The sequence below is a fragment of the Homo sapiens genome, chromosome 12 (assembly GCF_000001405.40).
Source record: "Homo sapiens chromosome 12, GRCh38.p14 Primary Assembly".
NCBI classification, from domain to species: domain Eukaryota; kingdom Metazoa; phylum Chordata; class Mammalia; order Primates; family Hominidae; genus Homo; species Homo sapiens.
This window is the reverse complement of record NC_000012.12, coordinates 20,356,325-20,377,649: the sequence shown is the minus strand read 5'-3', so window position 1 is coordinate 20,377,649 and position 21,325 is coordinate 20,356,325. Positions and strand designations below refer to the sequence as shown.

General features: G+C 38.5%; 1 protein-coding gene and 1 long non-coding RNA gene across 4 annotated transcripts in view, besides 2 other annotated features; one reads left to right on the top strand and one right to left on the bottom strand.

Moving 5' to 3' along the window:
* PDE3A (phosphodiesterase 3A) overlaps positions 1-9,113 on the bottom strand; it is a 320,047-nt gene extending 310,934 nt beyond the window's left edge. For all 3 annotated transcript variants that reach the window (NM_001378408.1, NM_000921.5, NM_001378407.1), the window contains exon 1: positions 7,406-9,113. Coding sequence is in view for 2 of the 3 variants with exons in the window: in NM_000921.5 (NP_000912.3) it covers positions 7,406-8,365 (960 nt within the window). In the remaining variant the exon portion in view is untranslated. The remainder of the gene's footprint in view (positions 1-7,405) is intronic.
* Positions 2,561-2,855: a silencer, noted in NCBI's record as "tiled region #6259; HepG2 Repressive non-DNase unmatched - State 24:Quies". NCBI's record gives its function as "represses a minimal TATA promoter and a strong SV40 promoter by Sharpr-MPRA in HepG2 cells {active_cell/tissue: HepG2}" and the evidence as "EXISTENCE:reporter gene assay evidence [ECO:0000049][PMID:27701403]".
* On the top strand, positions 7,394-18,475 carry PDE3A-AS1 (PDE3A antisense RNA 1). The gene is made up of 2 exons (NR_186033.1): positions 7,394-7,809; positions 15,816-18,475. It is a non-coding gene; the product is annotated as a PDE3A antisense RNA 1 (long non-coding RNA).
* Positions 7,781-8,075: a silencer, noted in NCBI's record as "tiled region #8059; HepG2 Repressive non-DNase unmatched - State 10:DNaseD, and K562 Repressive non-DNase unmatched - State 24:Quies". NCBI's record gives its function as "represses a minimal TATA promoter and a strong SV40 promoter by Sharpr-MPRA in HepG2 and K562 cells {active_cell/tissue: HepG2 | K562}" and the evidence as "EXISTENCE:reporter gene assay evidence [ECO:0000049][PMID:27701403]".
* Positions 18,476-21,325: the final 2,850 nt, after the last annotated feature.

The following is a 21,325-nucleotide window of genomic DNA, read 5'->3' as shown; positions in this document are numbered from 1 at the left end:
TCAAGATTACACATATAATTTTAAAGACTGTATATTGTTATTAAATCTACAAAGACTTTTCATTATAACTGAAGAGGTGACATTAGTATCTCAAATATTACAAATCTTTAAAAATATAGAGCTGCACTGTCCAATATGGTAGCCATTAGCCACCTGTGTCTATTTAATACTTGAAATGGGGCTAGGCCAAACTGAAATGTGCTTTAAGTGTAAAACACACACAAGATATTTAGACTCACAAAAAAACAGAATGCAAAATATTTCATTTTTTTTACACCGATTACATGTTGACATGCTATGCTGGGTTAAATAAAGCATATTATTATAATTCATTTCATCTGTTTCTTGGGTGTGTATGGCCTCTAGAAAATGTAAAATCAAATGTATGGCTTGTGTTGTATTTCTACTGGACAGTGCTTATCTATAATGTTTATAGGACTGTTTTCATCAAAGCCACTGGGTGACACTGTTTCTTCACTAAATTGATACAACCAAAGCAATTTTCTGCCAGGGGAAAATCACACATGCACACACACAAATCATAAATGCACATACAGGTACACACATGCACATGCACATACACACACTTCAGCAAACAATATGTGCCCCCTGTAACCAGTCATCTTCTCAGGAGGAAAGAACATGAGTGCCCTTAATGTAATATTATTATTATGTTAGCAGGACTGGCTATACTTGAAAGCTTTAATAATCATTCACAGATTCCTAAATAACAAATGACAGCTCTAATCAAATCAAAAACACAGACATTGCTTAGTTTGTGACTTCTCTCAAATAGCTTTCCATCTTCGAAATGGTAATGTTCTTCATGACCTCCTCTGATATTATACCCTATTTACTTATATTTTAATGAAATTCTAAGGAAACACTGCAAAATAACAGGTGAAAAAAATTACCAGCTGTTTTTGCTAATGAAGAAATGCCTTAACAATCTGCAGATTATGCTTTGCCTTGAATTTGGAAATCCTGAACATACAAAAATAAACATATTGAAAATCTAAAATAAAAATATTCAATATTTAAGCCACTGCTAAATACTTTTGTTTGATAAGACTCCACAAAGTTAGACTTTTCAGTGCAACTGATATTCATTTACGTGACAAAGTCAAGAATAATTCATTCCAGAGGCTACCTGGTATTAACAAGTTTTGTGTTATTTACACATCTGACACTCAATCTGATTATTCAGTCTTCTAATGCTGAATGAGAATTTAGAGTTGGCTCCATGGGAAAAATTACAAATGATACCCAGGGTTAAAGTTAGCAGCCTGACTCCTTTCCTACTGTTTCCTCAGTAGCACAGTCAAGTCAAAGAGGAAATGGACAAAAGCCATCTTGCCTTGGGCTATCTTCACACATATAGCTAACTCTCAGTTTCCTTCTCTCTAAAATCAGACTAATTGTAGTCTACTAACTACAGCCTTTTCAGAATTAAGCATTTAAAATATCAGTGCAACCAGCTATTTACAGTCATAAACTAACTCGACATAAATACAATCAATCAGTGTACTATTTTGAAGTGTAACATGTCCTAAATGAAATATTATTTTACCTTTGTTTCAGAGCAGACTGTAAAGGTACACCAAAGTAATTTCCATTTTCAAAAACATTCTCCATGTCTTCAAAATGTAAAGTTGCTTAAAATCTAAGCCATTTATGTTTAACCATCTATGTGTTGAGGACCTTCTGAAAACCTATGACACTAAGACTTTTTGCTCCTAAGAATGAACAAATGAAGTTCTGCATACAATTTCAGAGAGGAGATGAATGAGTCCTGGAGCCAGGTTAAAAACCTGCTCCAAGTTATTATATGCATTTCTCCATTATCTAAGATATTTCACTGTGACTTCCCTTTTTCTTATGTTCACTTCTCATTAATCTCACTAGGCTCTAAACTTTGCAGAGACAAATGCTGTGTCACATCTATCTGTATATTATTTTTGATTTTTAGCACAAGGACTAATGCACAGATAAAATGTGTTGATTTGAGACCTGGTAGGTTGATTGATCAAAGGCCTTTATGGATAATGGGTAACATTAGCTATGGGTAGCATCTTCTTTTAAAACAGTGGTATACATTCACAATGAACAGGTATGGTCAACTAATATTTTTTACGATTGTCATACAACACATCTTCCTCTAAACTACAACTCAGGCACATCTGTTAGACTTTTTTCTCAGTGATCAAATCTGTATATTTTATATCAATAACAGCACAAACATACATTCTCAGTTCAAAGTTAAAACAATTCCATAGTAGCCTTACTAAAAAAACAAACAACAACAAAAAATCTCCTTTAATAAAAAATACTACCTATCATGAAAGTATATATAGGTAATTACCAAAAGGATTCAAGTTTCTATATAAAGGAATTATCTTCATTTGAACATTAATGGAACACATCTTTAGGTGCAAGAATAGGAGACTGGACTTTCTGAGGGTCTTCAGAATTATTTCACAGAGGTTCATTAAACACATGAATGCAGAATATAAGCATAATATTTTTTAATCTCAATTTGAGGGTTTTTTTAAGAAGATATAAACACCACACAGAAATGGAGCAGGAAGACTCCACTGAAGAGGAGACATATGGCAGCTAAGTAAACAATTCACCATAAACCTGTAGGGTTATGCATCACTTCCGGGAGCATAAGACATTTCCCCATCGCCCAATGCAAAGGCATGATACAATAGTTGCATTGATTATCTTCACACATCCAGGACAGTATAACTCACAACAATAACTCTTTCTCAAAAACACAACTCCTATCCTAATCCCAAAATAAACTCTTTCTTTTGATAGATAAAATAACACACGTTTTCAATGAAGTCAACATTGACTCTACTGGGCTGACTGACACAAACCATATTAATGGAAAAATCTTAAAATATATAGGCATACTTCTAATTTTGAGGTTTATAAACATCCTACCTTGACAGAATGAGAACTTGCTTAAAATAGAAGTAAAATTCAATTTGGTAAAGCCTTTATTCAACTAGCGCTCTGAAGAGATTATTTCTCAGATCTGAATTTTCTAATAGACTACAACAAATTCACACAAATGTCACTGCAGATAGAATGAATGTTTTTTCATGCCAGTGTCACTCACCCTTGCCTGCCTGCACCCCCTCCCCCAAGGCTTTTCAAAATGTATTTCATACACAGAGTCACTGTTCTGGTTGTTTATTTAATTAACATGACAGCCCAGCATACACAGCATTTCTTTCAGTTCTACAGTTTTAACTTTTTACACTTTCGACTCAATACAGAAAGAGTAAAATTACTGTTTTCACTCCTTCCAGCCTCTGTAAATTTATATAGATTCACTGACTATTTATGTCACTTAAAAAACTTTTTCAGTATGCTTTAAATATCTGTATTCACAAAGTAAAATTACAATTTTTGTCCCCCCGACACACAAAAAATTCTTTTCCTTCACCTTTCCCAAGGGATAAGGAAATCTTGTTTTCCCTTTTCAGTATTTTCAGAAATTGACATTAATTAATTTTAATTCTGTCACCAAGTCATAAGTAATCAATATTGCTCTTTGAATCACCATAAACTGAGTAACACTACTGAAATGTAGAAGCTACAATTTAATTAAAAGTCCGTGATTATTTCTGAAACTTACTCAATTTGAACAATATGTTACATTGACAGGCATTTAGGAATTTAAACAATGTATTCTACATTTTGAGAAGAAATAAGCAAGTTTTTTGTCAAAGAATAACAATGCCTCCCATCCAGTGCCTACCATCAAACACCATACCCATTTCTCCTATTTTTGCTTTGCTGTTGTTTGCTTTCTCTCCTAAAAGTGTCTTTCTCACATCAGTGGTGAAAAACTTGACTCTTCTTTCGACAACTAAGATCAAAATGGATGATGTTGTATCCATCCCAAAAAAATGTTGTCATTAAGTGGTACAAATGCATTAACGGAGACAGTCATATGCCTTTGTATTTACCTGAAACCACAGGTAAAAATATAAAATTTTCCTTAACAGGTAACTAAAATAAAATTGCATTGGTTTGAAATCTTTCAAAAGTGAATGTGTAAGGTGGTCTCAGTAATTAGAGAAGAATGAGCAGCCAATTATAGTTCTTTATTTATAAAGAGAATGGAGAGACACCCCTTCAAATACAATTTGCAATAACAAAAAAATTGCAAAATTAAAATTTTACATTGAAAAATAACATATTAATCATGCATAATATCTAATACTCCAAGAAAGTCTAGGTACCTCTGTATATTCCCATGTTTCGGGCCGAGGGCACAGTGGTACTTTGAGAGAGACATATCTGCTCTGGGATGCGAAAGTCCACTTAGAAAAGATACACACACCTTAACAGACACTTGCCTTCTTAACACTGGCAGCCAAAAAAGTAGTTTGACACACTCATCTACAAAATCAGCCTCAGTATTGCGGACACTGGGTTGTCAGGACTAAACTAAAAGCTAAACAAACTTTATAGTTCTTTAAACTTTAAAGAACTATAAACTTTGTTTTTTCCTGAGAATAAAGATATTTCCACTTGCATTCACAGACACCAGTGCTACAGACTTACAGTTCTTGAAAGAAAAAAAGGGAGGGAGAGAGAAAAATGTATCTGTCAATTGGTTTCTCTTATGAGAATTTTTATCATATATTCTCTTTGCACTTTTGGAACTGAGGGTCACTGAAGAGGGATAGTTCATCAGTAACCAGCCACTGCCATTCATACAGAGAAGAAAATGATGAAATTCTCTCACTGGTAAGCCTCACAATGAGCAAAGTGCAAATAAATTCTCAAGAGGACTCTGACAGACTGTGCGTTTAAGTTCTTAAATGACTATTTAAAATTCACTTGTTGCCTATGAGTATTGTCTTGAGTTGAAAGTAGACATTCCTTCAGAAAAAAAGCAGATGACATTCAGGGGAGTGTTATATACTTATTTTATAATTATTTTGATGTTTGACTTCACAAAGTATGCAAATGACAGTGGTACACTTTGCACCCTTAATCAGAAGTTTGTTTCCTTATGATAAAACAGATAAGCCATTTACTGTGGGTAGCTCCTGAACTTTTCACACAGTAAGGCTAACGTATATGAGATACTGTCCTATCTTATAAGATAGTACACTGTGTTAGTTTCCACCCACTCCCCACAATTATGCTCAGCAACAACTTTTAATGGGTCATATATAAAAACCAGTCTTCAGTGACACGCACACACTCACCCATGCCCTCATTAAAACTTCAAGTATCTCAATTTCTGCTAAATGTATTCTTGTGTTTCCATCAAGCATAAGACAAAGTTTCCCACTTTAGAATAATCTTCATTAACACAGTCTTTAAAAAAAATAGTGACCAAAGAAAATTACAGAAATAGATTGCGATTATGCATTTTCCAACAGCATTAATCAGCAAAACATTAAATATGCAATGCTTATTTTGATAACTTCGTAGATAATTCAAATTCTCCATTTATCAATTTAAACCAGAGAAACCCAATAAAAATGTGTGGGTTAAATGAATGCTGCTGGTTAATTTACCTAACCACCTTCTTATCTTCTATCCACCCTTAATTTCTTAACTTATAAATGTTAATATAAAATTTTAAAAAATAATTCCACAGGGTAAATGATATCAATTTGGAATCAAGTTGTGATTAAATCCCAGATTTTCCTTAGAAATTATGGTTGTGAATTTTGCAATAGTAACATCCTATTTCCCTATAAGTTAATGAATAGTGTATTCTGAACATACTTAAAGCGGTGGTGTTTTCATTTAAGACATTCTCTCCCATAACTGTGAAAAGAAATTAAAATGGTTAGTTTACCCTCAAATAGATAACTTACTCCATTTTAACAATTTCCAAATTTTTACCAAAACTATCAGTCAGTGGCCTGTTTTCCCCTCCACTCTTAGAGTAAGCTTAAAGACAAGAAACATTTGTTTTATCGAAACAAAAAGCAAATAACTACATTTGCTTTAAAATAAACAGACTATGATGCTGTCATCTACTCTGCTCAATAATGTCAAACAGCCATAGATCTGTGTAATCAACTCCATTTCAGAAACCAACTAGCCACCCACACCATATGGTGACTGCTATTTCTTAGAAATACCCAAATGATTATCCACAGAATAACCTAAAAAGAAAAAGCTTACTTTATCTTAGGATATTCTCTTGCTCCCTAAAGTTGTCCTAATAGTACCACAGGTAGGCATTAATTTAAAGGGAAAAATGTAAATTTCCACTTGCTGTATCCAACCAGCTCCTCCTCCCCATCAAGTGTCAAATCCACTTCAAATAGAGAGGTGAACAAATCTGCTTCAACTAGGGAGGCATACCCTTCGGTATGCTTTTTTAGACACCGTATGCATTTAAAATTGGGATTTGTTCCTTTATGCCCTTTATAGCAACTGTTCTATAGTTTTAAATCACTTAATGATAATAAGGAGACTCATCCCCAAAAGTGACTAAAGTTTTATTTACAACTTTATAATCCCAGGTTCCTCCTCCTCCCACGTTGTGGGAAGATATACATCTCCAGCAATCTTAGAAATGGCCTCCCGAATTAGTATTTCCTGTAAAATCTGCATAAATCCATTTGAATTTATAAATATCCACTTAAGTATGCACATACTAAAGAGAACTGTTTTGTTTTTAGTTGACACTAAAACGCAGTTGACAATTTTGAACAATTCCAAAGTTCAGACATATTATTCCCCAAGTTGAAGTTTGTGATACAAAACACACTAGCATGTAATAATGTATGCCCCTAAATTATATTTAAAAACAAATTGGGCACCATCAGCTGCAGTCTCTCCAAATAAAACTTACTGCAAAACCAGAAAATGTGTATCAATTCCTCACCTTCAAGCACAGCTTGCTTTGCTCTAGAATCTTTTTACTGGTTTTCATAAATGTTTAATATCATTTCATTAAAAAGATTTTACTTTTTAAAAAGTAGAAATCTAGTAAAATCTATGTGTTAAAAAAATCACTCATTGCTAAAATCTAAACTTAATTCTAAAATTTCTGCTAAGGAAGGAAAGCGTAAGAGTACTGAAAAGAGTAGGCAAGCCATACACCAGGTGTAGCAGATCTAAAAAGTTGGCCCAGCTGTGGAAGACCCTACACATGCCATCTAGTTTTGTTAATTGTGTTTCAGTCGTTCAGGTTATAAAACTACTGTGTGAAAGAGAGGGCAAAAAAACAAAAAAAAAAAAACAAAAAAAACAAAAAAAAAACCTGCTAGTTTCTTAATTCTGAAGTTAGACCAGTTTTCTAGGCTATCTTCCCTTTAGTTCCCAGCGCTCGGATTCTCTCCACTCTGCGCCGGTTGCCAAGTGTTTCAAGTTTCCAAGAGCCGAGAGAGGAGTTGCCAGTGCTTACCTGTTCCCTCGGTATACAGGGCAGGGAGGTCCTCCGATGGGACTTGCTGCTGCAGCCGGACATCTCGGCGGACACGACGGAGCTGGACCGCCTCCTCCTCTTAAACACCGGGATATCTTCCTTGGTCCCAGCAATCAGCTGGGACCCCAAATGCTCCCTTGGAGCCGCCTCCGCGGACTGCGGCAAGATTTGTTCCACGTACCTGGCCAAGAGGATCCCCAGCACGCCGGCCAGGTACGCCAGGTAAGGTCTCCAGGCGACCTTGAACCTCTCTAAGGAAATGAGGGACACGGTCCTGACCGCGCTAGTCAAGGCGATCATGAGGACGCCCAGCCTCAGCCTCAGCACCAGCCATGTCGCGGCGGCCAAGCAGCTGAGCACCACCCCCGCGGCGGGGAGTGAGAGTAAGTGATCCTCCCCGACGCCCAGCCCAATCTGGACGAGCGCTTCCCCCCCGCAGCAGGCGGCCAGCAGCGCGACAGCCAGAGGCAGGCGCACCCCGGCGCGCAGGAGGTACAAGCCCATCCAGAAGAAGGCACACAGGAGACTGAAGAGCAGCGCCGAGGGCTGCAGCCAGGGGCTGAGCCGCGCACCGCCCCCGGGAGCACCTCCCCGAGGCCCCGGGAAGACGCCCCCTTCTGCTCCCGGGGCTGCTTCCTCCTCCTCCGCCGCCGCCGCCTCCTTACACTGCTCCAGGTCACAGCCGACCTCCCCGCGGACCAGCCTCACCAGCAGCGCCAGCAGAAAGGACAGGGAGCCCGCGCACAGCGCGGAGGAAAGTTTCCGAGAGCTCCGGAGCGGCTGCAGCACCAGGTCTCCCCAGCAGCCACGGCAGCCCGAGTCCCGCGGCGATGCGGGGTCCGCACGATGGTGGCAGTCCCGGCCCGCCGTGGGGGCTTGACTCACCCCACTGTGGACGGGCTTGTCCCTGACTCGTGCAGCGTCGCCGGGCACTGCCATGGTATAGGGTGCCCTCTTCACTGAATTCCCAGTGGCCCCCCGACGCCCCCGCCCCGACCCACGCGCGCGCGCGCACACACACACACACACACACGCACGCACGCTCTTCCCAATTCCACCCTCGGAATCCTTCTTCTCCCCAGGCCCACAATCCACTGAAAGTTTCAGCTTTCGAATAACTCCTGGAGAATGCTAGATGCTCCAATGAGACTTCTTCAAGTTAAAGGCTAGCACGCTCAAGTTGAAAACAAGCACGGGCAGAAACGATCAGGATTCCCCTTTTCTCTCTTTGAATATCTTTCACAGATTCTCTGCTCCACCCCCACCCCCGACTTATATCCTCCGGGGTCTCTTCCTACTTCAGGATTTCAAAAATTGCCCAATGCATCCCGCGCGCAGGAGCCGCTGACGCTGGAGGAGCCGGGGGCGCAGGGCGGGCTCCGGGCCATTCCGAGGCGCAGCTCGGCGCTGCGCTGCGCTGCAGCGCGCCGGGCCCGCGGCAGATGGAGGTCTCCCTTCTCCTCCTTCCTGCAGCTCTTTTTCTATCACTCTTTCTTTCTCCTCGGCCGATTCTCCCCGGCACGGCCCCAGGACGCGAATCGCCATTCCCTGGGGCAGAAAGCAAAGCCTCCCCCGCCTCTGTCAATCCAATTCATGGCAAAGGATGGAAAAAAAAAAATGGACAAGGGGCTGAGAAATAAGAAGTTGCTAAGTCCCGTCGGAGAGAGAGCCAGACCGAGAGACTAGCGGCAGCCGCAGAAGGGAGGGAGGGAGAAGGAGCGAGTAAGAGAGGAAGGGAGGGTGAGAAGAAAGGGAGGGTGAGAAGGGAGAAGGAGATTTGCTTTTTTTTTCCCTCCCCACTTCTATTTGATGCAAGGTTGGTGGTGATTTGCAGTTTTGCAAAGGGGAAACGAGTGGCGACGACTGCTTAAAATTGTATAAAACTGGCAACTGGAGTGATCGACAATTCCGCTTTCTTTCTTTAAGGCAACTCCCTAGGAAAGCTTTCTCAGCCGAGCTCCCGCCCCCTCCTGCGGAGGAGGCGCTACCCTCAGCTCGATTGCTCCTTTGCTGGGAAAGCGGCCGGTTCACCCTACAGGCTGGAGCAGGGGCTGCTGAGGCTGATCCACCGCGCAGCCCACCGCAGCCCCGGGGTGTGGGGGGCTGCGGCTAGCCCTGAGGCTGAGCTCCCTAGAACGTTGGAAGGAAAAAAAAAAAAAAAAGATTGTGTTTGCCTACTTGGCAGATGAGAGCCAACATACTTTCTACTGTCCCTGAAAATGACAGCCACTTCTACTGTCTGATTCAAAGATGTTCCCAAGTCAGGTACAACAGCAGTCCAATTTCAGGTGACAGTGTCATCCTTTGGTCGCTCCTGCTGGAAGGTCTGCTTTATGAGAACCCAAGCCTGGCCTGTTGGTTCAAATGATGGAAGAATCAGCCTTACCTAGACCACAATAGTATAAAAAGAAAGGAAGGAGAGGCAGCAGTCATTTAAATCCAGTGCATGAGTATTACACAATAGTTTTTGACTGTGGAAAGTAAAATTACATTGAGATTAAGTGACCGTATCCTCAAAAAAGGTTAACAAAGTTTAAAAGCCCAGATAGTTCATCAAAAAATAAAGAAAAATCTCAAGGGAGAGGTGAGGATAGGTGGGTTAACACTAGGAGAGATCTTAGAAGACTGTCTATGGCTGCAAAATACTACATCTTCGAGCAAAGCATATGAAAAAAATCAGGACCTTAGTTATTAATGAGTAAAGGTTCGTGTACTGCAGCAGTGTGATATTTGAGAAACTAAAAGAAAATTTTCAAGCTAACCTTTTTTTGGCAGATTATGAAAAAGAATTCAGTATCTGTTCAATGGACTTAAACTCTATTGATGTTCCCTGGGATCTAGTTGTCTTTTTAATATGATACTCCACTTTTAACATGGCTATCTTAGATGTCATTTGCCCTCACTAATAATAATCTTAATAATCCAATTTTGTCTTAATTATCTTGACATTCCAGGTTAAAGTGTATTTACAGCCTAGAGCATTTAGATAATTGATTCAATATGCCACTGTATTTTGTATGTAGACATGAAGCAATAAAAAAAGCCAAAAGGAGATCCTTGAGATAAAATTAATTTATGGGGACAGGGGGAGAAGATGACTTAAGTTTTAAACAGCTTCATGGGAAGCAGCCTGTTCTAGTAGAAGGCAGATATACTATAAAGGTATAGCTTCTCTCTGTCAGATGTCCAGAATTGTGCTACCACACAGGAGTATGAGTTGGGCAGCTAGTCAATGGCAGTGGGCACCATCTGTTTAATAATTAAGGAAACAGGAGCAGCAATGTCTTTGCCAAAGACAAATGAGCCCCCTAGCACGCACACATACTTTCATGAGTTTCCTTTTTAGACATATGATTCATATGCCAGATCCTACCTGGGACACATCGGAGTGAAAAACCTTGATTGGAAAATCATTCATATCTGTTGGCATCAAAAATAACATATTAAAATAATAAACCAAAAATCTGGCATATATCAAGGTTAAAAAGAAAAGCATAGTAAGGGAAATTTTAGAATATTTCAATTTTATCTGTCCCCTACCCCCACAATTATCTCAGTTCTTTAGAAAATTTAATATAATATTATCATAAAAACTGAACACTTAAGGTATGGGAAGCAGATGTTTTTTAAAAGTTGTAACAGGAAAAAATGGCATTTGCTAATGGCAGCAAAACAAGAATATTCTAAATCCATGTGTTAATAACATCCTGGAACTCTTCAATAAAATAAGGAGGCAATGTCCTGGCATCCAGGTTTCTTTAACAAATCATAATCAAAAAGTTATTTGTCCCATCAAAAGGAAAGAAGGTAGATTTTTCTCCCCATACCATCCAGAACCCAGAGGCAAGTGAACAAAGACAACAAAATGCTAATGTTAGAGAGATGCAGAAACCTGCAGGGCTATACTAACTGAAAGAAGCGACTAATAATGTACCTTTAACAGAGTATATTAAATGAAATAAGCTGCAATACATAAACTGGATAGGGAGCAATCACATATAAACACTGCCTCTTTTCTACAGATAGTGGTGAGTCCTAGTTCAAGAAAGTGACAACACAGCCAAAGAATAAGGAAAATGTTGTACGTGCAGAAAAATAGTAGAGCATGGACAACAGAAATAAAAATTTAAGTTTTACTTGATAAATCTTCCACTTAGTCAAATCTAGCAAACATGTTTTTACAGTTTTTTGGGAAAAGGATCTAACCCTTCACATTTGAGCTTTATTAAATATAGTTAAGCGTCAGGGGATTCTATTGTAAAATTCAGTAAGTTTACGTTCCGTAGTATGGGTTCAATCATTCTCTGCTACCTATCTGATTATTATATATTTATATCTAATAGGTACCTAAAACATAAGGTATCCAAAACAAAATTCTTAACTTACAATTCCCTTCCTACCTATCCCCTACCCACCCAAACTATATTTTCTCAATCTTGTTACATCCCAGTAAAGAACATAACCATCTACCTAGTTGCTCAGGCCCCAGAAGAGGGAACGGGTCTTGATTCTTTCCTTTGTTTATCTTGTTTTACTTTTAGTCGATTAGGAAATCCACTTGATCCTGTCTCTAAAATATATTCTAAATCCATTTACTTTTCACTGTCCCTCTTATAATAACCTGCCAAAGACCCATCATCTTCCTTGGCCAGGACAAGTGCAGTAACTAACTGATCTTGCCCTACTTATAATTCATTTTCTATATAGCAGAGTAACACTTTAAAAATATAAATTGAATTATGTCCCTCCCCTATTTAAAACTACCCAAAGGCTACCCATCGTACTTGCAGAATGCAGTCCTCATCACAGTCCTCATGACAGTCCTACAAGGACCTTCATGATCTTTCCAAGTAATTCTCTCTGACCTCTCCTCCTATTCCAATGCTCCTACTTCACTGGTGAAGTACTATTTATTAGAACTTTCTTCAATGACAAATAGACCCTCTGCTGTCCAACATGGTTGCCACTAACCACATGTGGCCATTGAATACTTGAACCATGGTTGGTGTCACTGAGGAGCTGAACTTTTGTATTTTATTTTAATTTAAATTTTAATACATTCACTTGGCTAGTGTCTAAAGGAATGGAGAATGCATCTCTAATACCTCAGGCCACCTTTGTGTTCTTCATACATGTGAAATGGGAAACCCTGTTCAGGGCCTTGGTATCCAGAGATTTTCACATAGCTGGCCCCTTGTGCTCCATCAAGTCTAACCTCAAATGTTACTTTATTTTAGAAAGGCTTTTTTTCCAAGAATCTTATCAAAAATTTTTGGACACCCCATGTACACATACACACTTTTTCTTTCACTATCATACTACCCTGTTTCATTGTATTTATAGCACTTATCACTATACAAAATGGTCTTGTTCGTTTATTTGTTTTCTCACTTATCATTTATCTCTGTTCACTAGGGTGTTAGTGCCATGTGAACAAGGACTCTGAATAGCTGTCTTGTTTGCTGTGTATCTCCAATTACCAGAATAGTGCCTGGCACATGGTGGAAGCTTGTCTTAGTCTGTTTACTGTTGCTATGAAAGAATACCTGAGATTGGGTAATGCGTCATCAGGTGATTTCATCATGTGAACATCACAGAGTATACTGACACAAACCAGATGTGTGACCTACTACACACCTCGGTTATATGGTATAGCCTATTGCCCCTAGGCTACAAACGTGTACAGCATGTTACTGTATTAAATACTCTAGGCAACTGTAACACAATGGTAAATCTTTGTGTATCTAAACATAGAAAGGGCACAAAGTACCATATTATAATCATATGGGACCACTGTGGTATATGTGGTTTGTCATTGACCAAAACATTGTTAGCAGTGCGGGCCTATATCAATACTTAAATTACTCATCTATTAGAGAAATAGGTAATTGTCAAAGTTTTGAAAACTTTGTATTGATTACCTGATGAAATGTCTACAATCCTTAGCAGTTTTCTGGTAGGCTTAGGGATAAAGCAATGTAAAGCTGCATTTCAGTAATATGTAAGCTGAGAAATTAGGAGATACCTAAATATGAGTGACTAAGATGTCATAGCTCACATCACGATTTATGACATAGTCTCCAACTGTGCCAATTAACAACAATAGGGGATTAACTTAAGATTTAAAAAAGTAAACATTTTGCCAACATGGACCTTATTAATACTTATTATTTCACATATAGTCAGGGAAAAAATGCAGAAACCTTGCATTTTTAGATGTATCATCTGCCTTTTTTTTTTTTAATGCTGCCACTTAAAATGCAGTGCCTGCCCAATAAATTGCTGATAAACAGTCAAAGGCTGAGCTCTTATTGACTTCATGAGCAAATAGTTCAGGTTTACAGCAGCTACTGATGTACAGGCCAGTCTAAAATGTTAGAAATTAAGGATGATTTGCATTTTTAAGCTAGAGTGTATTATTGAGAAAAACTATGAAGGTTGTTGATAGAAAGGAAAATATAAGTATAGCCTATTTCTTTGTTATATTTCAACACCTCTACATTTTAAAGTTAGTTTTACTTACCTGTAAGTGTTATAATAGCACCCAAACTGCTACTTTTTATATATGTGACAGAAGGATTCCAGGGCAAAATTTATATACAGCGTAGAAACTTCCTTGATCTATAAATGTGATGCTCTTTTGCATGAAATCTACCAAGGTTTCTAAGTATTAATGGAGTGTTTTAAGCTACCTTATCATTTTGGAGGAAATTCTAATAAGCAGCCAAATGTCTAAAATTAGGCAGTTAATAGAAGGGAAAATAGAAACAAAGAACACAGATAATTTACTAATTGAAAATCTACCCTGAGTAATTGATCACCTACTGCTCTTTTCCTTTATAACTATCTAAGGAGAATGCATGTTTAAAATTAGAATGGAATTTTAAAATGAGTTAAATAATCACTCATCTTTATGTAAATATAATTAAAAATACTGTCACTTGACTAGTTATCTTACTTATATTTACAATTCTCTTTTTATTTGTGGCTGTGTTGGATCTTACAGAATCTAGGGCTATTTGTTATATCATCTCTCAAATTCTTTCCTCCCCCAAAGCTTTAGCCTCAAAAGGGCAATTTCATTTTTTTTTTTATTATTATACTTTAAGTTTTAGGGTACATGTGCACAATGTGCAGGTTAGTTACATGTGTATACATGTGCCATGCTGGTGCGCTGCACCCACTAACTCGTCATCTAGCATTAGGTATATCTATGAAATGTCTGGTTGGCTTTCACAAAACAACTATGTTGTGAGAGTAGAGAAAAAGTGTTAAAATACAGTATTTAAAAAATAATTACCTGTAGAACCTGTAGAAAAGAAATAATCAGTGTCTAAAAATACTTATTATTTACACTTAAAGACTTAGACTCAAATACAAAAATCAAAATGCTTAATGTTTATTATCTCTCCCACTAATACGAAGTTCAGAAAAGAAGCATCATCTGAGATTGTCAGTATAATCAATATCTTGTATTCAGTGACTAAGAAGGAAGTGCTCATACTAGTTAATCTGAGTTGTTCTCTGCCTGAAACTGTAAGGCATTTTTTTCATTCTACCGGAACCACAGAACTATGGTAACTTTCCACAGAAATGGCAAATTACATACAGAGCTTAGGCTCAATGAGTTCCTTTAGCCAAAATCTAGAAATAGGGCATTTTGAGCTCAGTAAGAACAGTAAGTGATGCATGGAAGAAATAAATGTGGTTCTCCCATTCCAGAAAAGGGAGGACCTCCAAAATATAGGTAAGAATGTGAGTTTTCTCCGATAATGTCTCCGCTTCCTGACCAAATCTTTACATTGATTTTTAAATTTTATTTCTTGTTTGTTTTATTTTTTGCTTTCTAAAGGTCCATCAATGAGAAATTTTAGTCCATTTACTATTGAGAGCTAATTTGGCATTGTTCTGATTTTGTTATTATAATTAATATAGTACATAAAAAGATATAGATAATACATAATTAAGAGTTCTGGAAGTTACGGGTGACACACAGTTAAAAAGGGCCAGAGAAAGGTCTCAGATTATTCTAAATTAAAATAATTATTATCACTCACCATGTATCTTATCTAATTTCATACCTCAAATATCAGTTATTCAAGGGACTGAAGAAAAGCCCAGAAGAAACCCATACAAGTCATTTCATTACTGCATATTAATATTGGAGAGTTCCCTTAAATTTACTCATATAGGTTTATTTGAGAAAAAGGGATTTCTCATCTACAAATACATTTATACCCCAACAAGAAAGTCACTCGAACAGGTGTTTTGTTTTGCTGCTCTATAAAATAAGAGTTCACGATAAAATTTTGAACAAAGCTGTCTGAATTTTCTCCCATAGAAATGTTAATCATTCTACTAAAATTTCCATACATCTTCTTTCTTCTAGACCTTACTAAAAAGTCAATATTCCTACCCAACTGGATCAAGATTGTAGAACACAAGGATGCATCCTTAACCTTATAAAAATGCCTTGGAATTTTTAATGAGCAGAAGTGGTCAGAACCTCAGTCATACGTCTCATCCAATAGATGGTTCTCCTGTAGCTCAGTGCTCCATAACCCAGGCTGAAGTTGGCTCAGCACCACCCTGGGATGGAAGAGGGCCACCTACTGAATCACCGCCACCACATCCTGCAGCATCCTCCATCCAAGTCTTTCCTGGGCCCACCCCTGCTGAACTCCCAAGGTCAGAAGAGATCACAGCTTTAGAGCATTTCATTACAAATTTTAAATTTCCAGTCTCTGGTTTTCATATTGCATTTCAAGATCAACATCCTTATTAGTAGTCGTATATTTTTTATTTTGAAATTTTATAACACCTTGTCCACTGGGAAATTCCAAGCAGGCTACTGAACCTCGTTACCACACAGGCAGAAATCCGCATAACACCCCTGTGAAGGAGGTGTTAAATGACAGAGAGAGAGAGGGAGCGCACACCATCACCTACTCTTACAAAAGTCCAATCCTTAATAATTAATGAATGAAAAGACATCTTGAGTCCAGTGGTCACTGGGAGTAATTGGCGTATATTTTCTCAGCTGCCTCTAAATGAAAATGGCAATAATTTAACCAATATATTTGGGCCGACAGCTAGGCTAAATTCAGTTCTCTTTTGCACCCAAGCAGTAGAACTAAGTGGGATCTGAACAGACTACTCTCTGTTACCACCTGATTGTGGAAAACTCACATGTGGTGCTCAGCAACTGAGTATTTCAAGTCCTGCTCACATTTACAATGTCTTTTTCTATCCTCGGTTAAAAGGTCCTGAAAATTGGGAGGACACAAGGTTACATTTGTTTTATACCTTTTCTCTGTCCTCAATCCTTCCTTATGTAAAAACTTCTGGTGTTTAAATGATAATATAAGAGGTTACTTCGAGTGATAAAATCAAGAGTCCAGCTATCAAGATGAAATTACATAACATAAATGTATAGTTCATAGTATAGATTGGTGGTTATCAGCCTCATATTGAATGCCTCCTTTTATAACAAATATTTTATAATATCACTGTAGCAGATGCTATCGGTTCCCTTCCTGTATTCCCTAGGCCATACACACCAGTGACATCCTATTTCTGGTCTCTGCTCAGGGCCTTCTGGCTGCTGAGAGTACTTGGCTCACACACATTGTGGCAGTCCAGAAGATGATAGATAGCCTGACAGAATATAAAATGACCTCATACAGCTTCAGACAATTGGGAGGAGAGGGTGCTTGGGGCAGATCTTTCACCTAGGAACACAGCGTTTCACTATACCCAAAACTTTGGATGTTGCCTAAACATATTGGGCATCACGTGCCAGTAGACTAGCAAGCAAAGGAGTTACTATACTGATTTTCATGACCAGATAGGGTTACTGCTGCACAATCAAGATAGGGAAAATATGACTGAAACTCAGATAATTCATGGAGGTGCCCTACTGTGGTTTGGATCTATGTCCCCACCCAAATCTCATGTCAAACTGTAATCATCAGTGTTGGAGATGGGGCCTGGTGGGACGTGATGGATCATGGGGTCAGATCCTTCATAAATAGTTTATCACCATCTGTTCTCCTGATAGAGTTCTCATGAGATCTGGTTACTTAAACGTGTGTAGCACCTCCCCTCACTCTGTCTTGCTCCTGCTTCCACCGTGTGAGATGCCTCACTCCCCCTGTGCCTTCTGCCATGATTGGAAGCTTCCTAAGGCCTCCCCAGAAGTAAAAGCTGCTCTGCTTCTTGTACAGTCTGCAAAACCATGAGCCAATTAAACCTCTCTTCTTTATAAATGTCCCAGTCCCAAGTATTTCTTTAAAGCAATGTGAGGACAGACTAATACATACCCCTTGGTGCTTCCATCCCAAGGAATAATCTGATAAGAACAGGGCAAGTTAGAATCCAGAGGTTTCATGGATCTAGGTCTGTGTTACCCAACTAGGCCAATGACTTAGGCCAATAGAAGTCCTGGCTGAGAGTAAAGGTGAAGAGACTCTAGAGTGGGGGCAGAAGAGGAAGCTGAGAAATATCACCTATAGGCGATATTTCTATTTGTCTTAGAAATTGTGTGTGTGTGTGTGTGTGCGTGTGAGTGTGTGTGTGTGTGAAGTGGGTGGGGACTGGGTATCCCTTTGTAGAATGAGTAACAGAGCAGATTAACTTAAAGCAGGGCGTGAATGGATCTGGATGATCCAGCAGGTGGACTGTAGCGGATGACGGTAGTGCTCCCATCATCAGCCCTCACTTTCCCTGTAAATGCCTACAACCCTTTCTGCAAACACTTGTGCCTCCTTGTCTACAGGGAGCTTCTAAGGAAGCTCCCAGACCCCAGTAATGCAAAGTAAAGTGACATAGTGCTTATGTAAGTCTGGAACAGCTTTTACTTTAAAAACTGTGCTCCTTGTCTTGTGCATAAGAACACTGTACACTTGTATACCTCTCTGTGTGCTTCAGAACCTCTCTGTGACCCATCAGTCTACACAACACTGCATATCCCAGTCTCCAACCAGTGGTTTTTGGCTCCTTCCTCACTGGAGTGCTCCATTCAATAAAATGTCTTATCTACTGTCTCAAGTGTTGATTTTATTATTTAGGCTTCTGCACTTTAATCACTTTGCTTCTCCCTGGCATGGTATTTTGCATACCAATTGTTAAGTAAGAGGCTCTCGTGGCACAACTCTGGGACCCCTCCATTTCCAGAGATAACTTAGGCTTGACTTTCTCTCAGCCCTAGAGAGGCCAACTTAGATAATGACTGTTGAAAATAGCATTTGAAATGCTATTTTTTAAACAAAATCTTTATTTTTATATGTTCTCAAAGTCACAGTAGGGGAAGGGCCTAAATATAGTACAAATATAGTTATCTCTAGCTACATTTAGGAAGGTTGGCCAGGATTGTATTTTTGAAAGTCCTAATCATTTTCATGAGAATAGCAATAGCAGAATATACTGGTCCTTAACGTTTTAAAGCATTTTGTCAAAAAGGGTCACATCTTTACCTCTCAGGCATTACGTAAGTTGGAAAAGGAGTTCATACGTGATAAGATTTTTTATGAATTTGGGCTTGGACACATTGGAAGTAACAGGTGAAGAAAGAAACAAAATATGTCACACAAGTTGTCATCTAAAAGAGCCCTCAGGAAATCAATACCATAGTTTTTGGGGAAAAGGAGGCTGTAAGAGTCTAAACCAGTAAGTCAAATGGGAAGAAAAGAGTGCCACTCTGGAAAAGAAGGAACAAGTCTGTACAGTTTAATCTAATATGGAGAATGCATTTCTTCTTATCTCACCATAAGTACCATTGAACTGAAATGAAGATGAGGCTATCCTGTAATGCGGGGGGTGTCAGCACACAGAGATGTGAGCAGGGTCATGTGATAAGCATGAGCAGTAACTAAGGAAGACAGAAAGAGATACCATAAGATACTTCAGCAGCTATGGCAGTTGTTAGGAAATATGTTCTTTACAGTTAGCACTATTTTGACTCATATTCTGTAACTGTAGCACCATATCCATCTATGCCCTGAATAAAGTGCCCTTGGAAAGTCAGATTGTGAATACGAACTTCAAAAGGTATCCTTTGTCCCTTTTTCCACTTCCATGTTAATTATTAATATGTCACCATATTTTTACGTCCTGCCCCAGGTCAGTACCTTCTTCTGATGGAAGATATTTGGGAAAATATTACAATAACTAGGCAAAAACTTCGGGCGTACATCTAACTACATCAATAGTAAACACTCAAAGAAGAATAAAACACAGCTTAAAATGCTCAGATGTAGAAGTCGTCCTTTTATGGTAAAAATAACATGGACTAAAAATAGATAAAAGACATTTTTATTAATAAATGTACAAAAATGCCCAAATTATATTTAGACACACTTATCTAAATAACAACGGTGACTTGGTAGGTTCAGTTTATATCTGTACTAAAGTAACTAAAAAACTATAGATTCCTACATAGGTGTTACCCTAAAATGATTTGAATATTTCAGATTGACTAGAAGTAAACTATTATCCAGCTAAAATGTAAACTCACCAATTCTCACTAAAACTTTATTTTTAATCATATTTATCCGATCTCAAATTGAGCCTTCTCAGGAAAGATCGTCAAAATATTGTAGAAGAAATGAACAATTCTTCACCTGAGTGTTTATTTCTCTCTCCTTGGACCATGGCCTGAATTTGGTTTGGGAAAGAGTCACAGTTCAGATTTTTCCACAGGCCTTCTTGACCTACACAAGTCGGCTTGCTATAAACCAAACCCCTGCAGCTTTCCTATCCTGGCAAAGCTGGGAAAGCCATAAATATTTCTGGCAAAGTAGAACCCTAAAATAGGACAAGGTTTTTTATTTCAAGATCATATAACATTGGTCAAAGTGGCATACTGAGGCAACTAGCTAAAACATATTTTTAAAGCAAATATGTGGTGATATAGAAATATTTCTCACACTAATCCATGTCAACGACCTAGCTGAGGTTTTATAACACTGGGCTGTGTAAGATACGTTGTTTTGGATGGAGATTATAAACAAATCTGGATTCTGCTAGTTGAAAGGAAAAGGTGCTGATGGGCATTAGCCCCATAGAAATAGAGCTCCCACCCAGAGGGGCTTAAAGTATCAGAAACTTAAGAGCACTCCTTAGGCCAGTGGTTTCCAAACTATCATGCATTTCAGAATCCACTGGAGGAGTTGGCTAGGCTCAGCCCCAGAGTTTCTGATTCGCTAGGTCAAAGGTAAGCCTGGAAATTTGTATTTCTCACAAATTCCCTGGAACTGCTAATTCTGCTGGCTCCAGGATCACACTTCAAGAACTACTGCATTAGACTGGCTTGGACATCACAGTAACCCTTCAGAAGAAAGAGAATCTCAAGGCCCGCCCCATCCATACTGCATTTTCATATATTACTTACTTGTGCTAAATTCACTAAGTTATTTACTTGGTGAATATTTGATACTCAGTTTGTTGAGGGTTAATGATTTGTGCCACCCAAGTTCAGAATTTGAAAAGCTAATCAGAAGTCAAAGTAAAGGGAAAGTCCCAAACCTAGGGTTCCCATTTTTTTCCCCTCTCTGTAGGTTTCATTATCATCCCTACATCTACCGAATTGCAAAGAACCACAACCGATGATTAGTTTGCATTGAAAAAATTTGGTTCTCATTGACATTGTTTTTTCTCAAAGTGGATTCATATTCTTAGCTACCCCGCTGGGGCTACTATAAATATAGCACCCTAAAATGGTACAATGTATTTTCAAATGTCATATGATTTCACATAAGTAAGGTAATATAAAATAATATATAGCAACATAATAATTTAATTATGACAGTGAGTAGCATGGTAGATTGCATTGTTTTCCCCAAGCTGTCCCTATACTTCCCTGTGAGAGGATGACATACCCCAGCCCTTTGGCATCTGCTT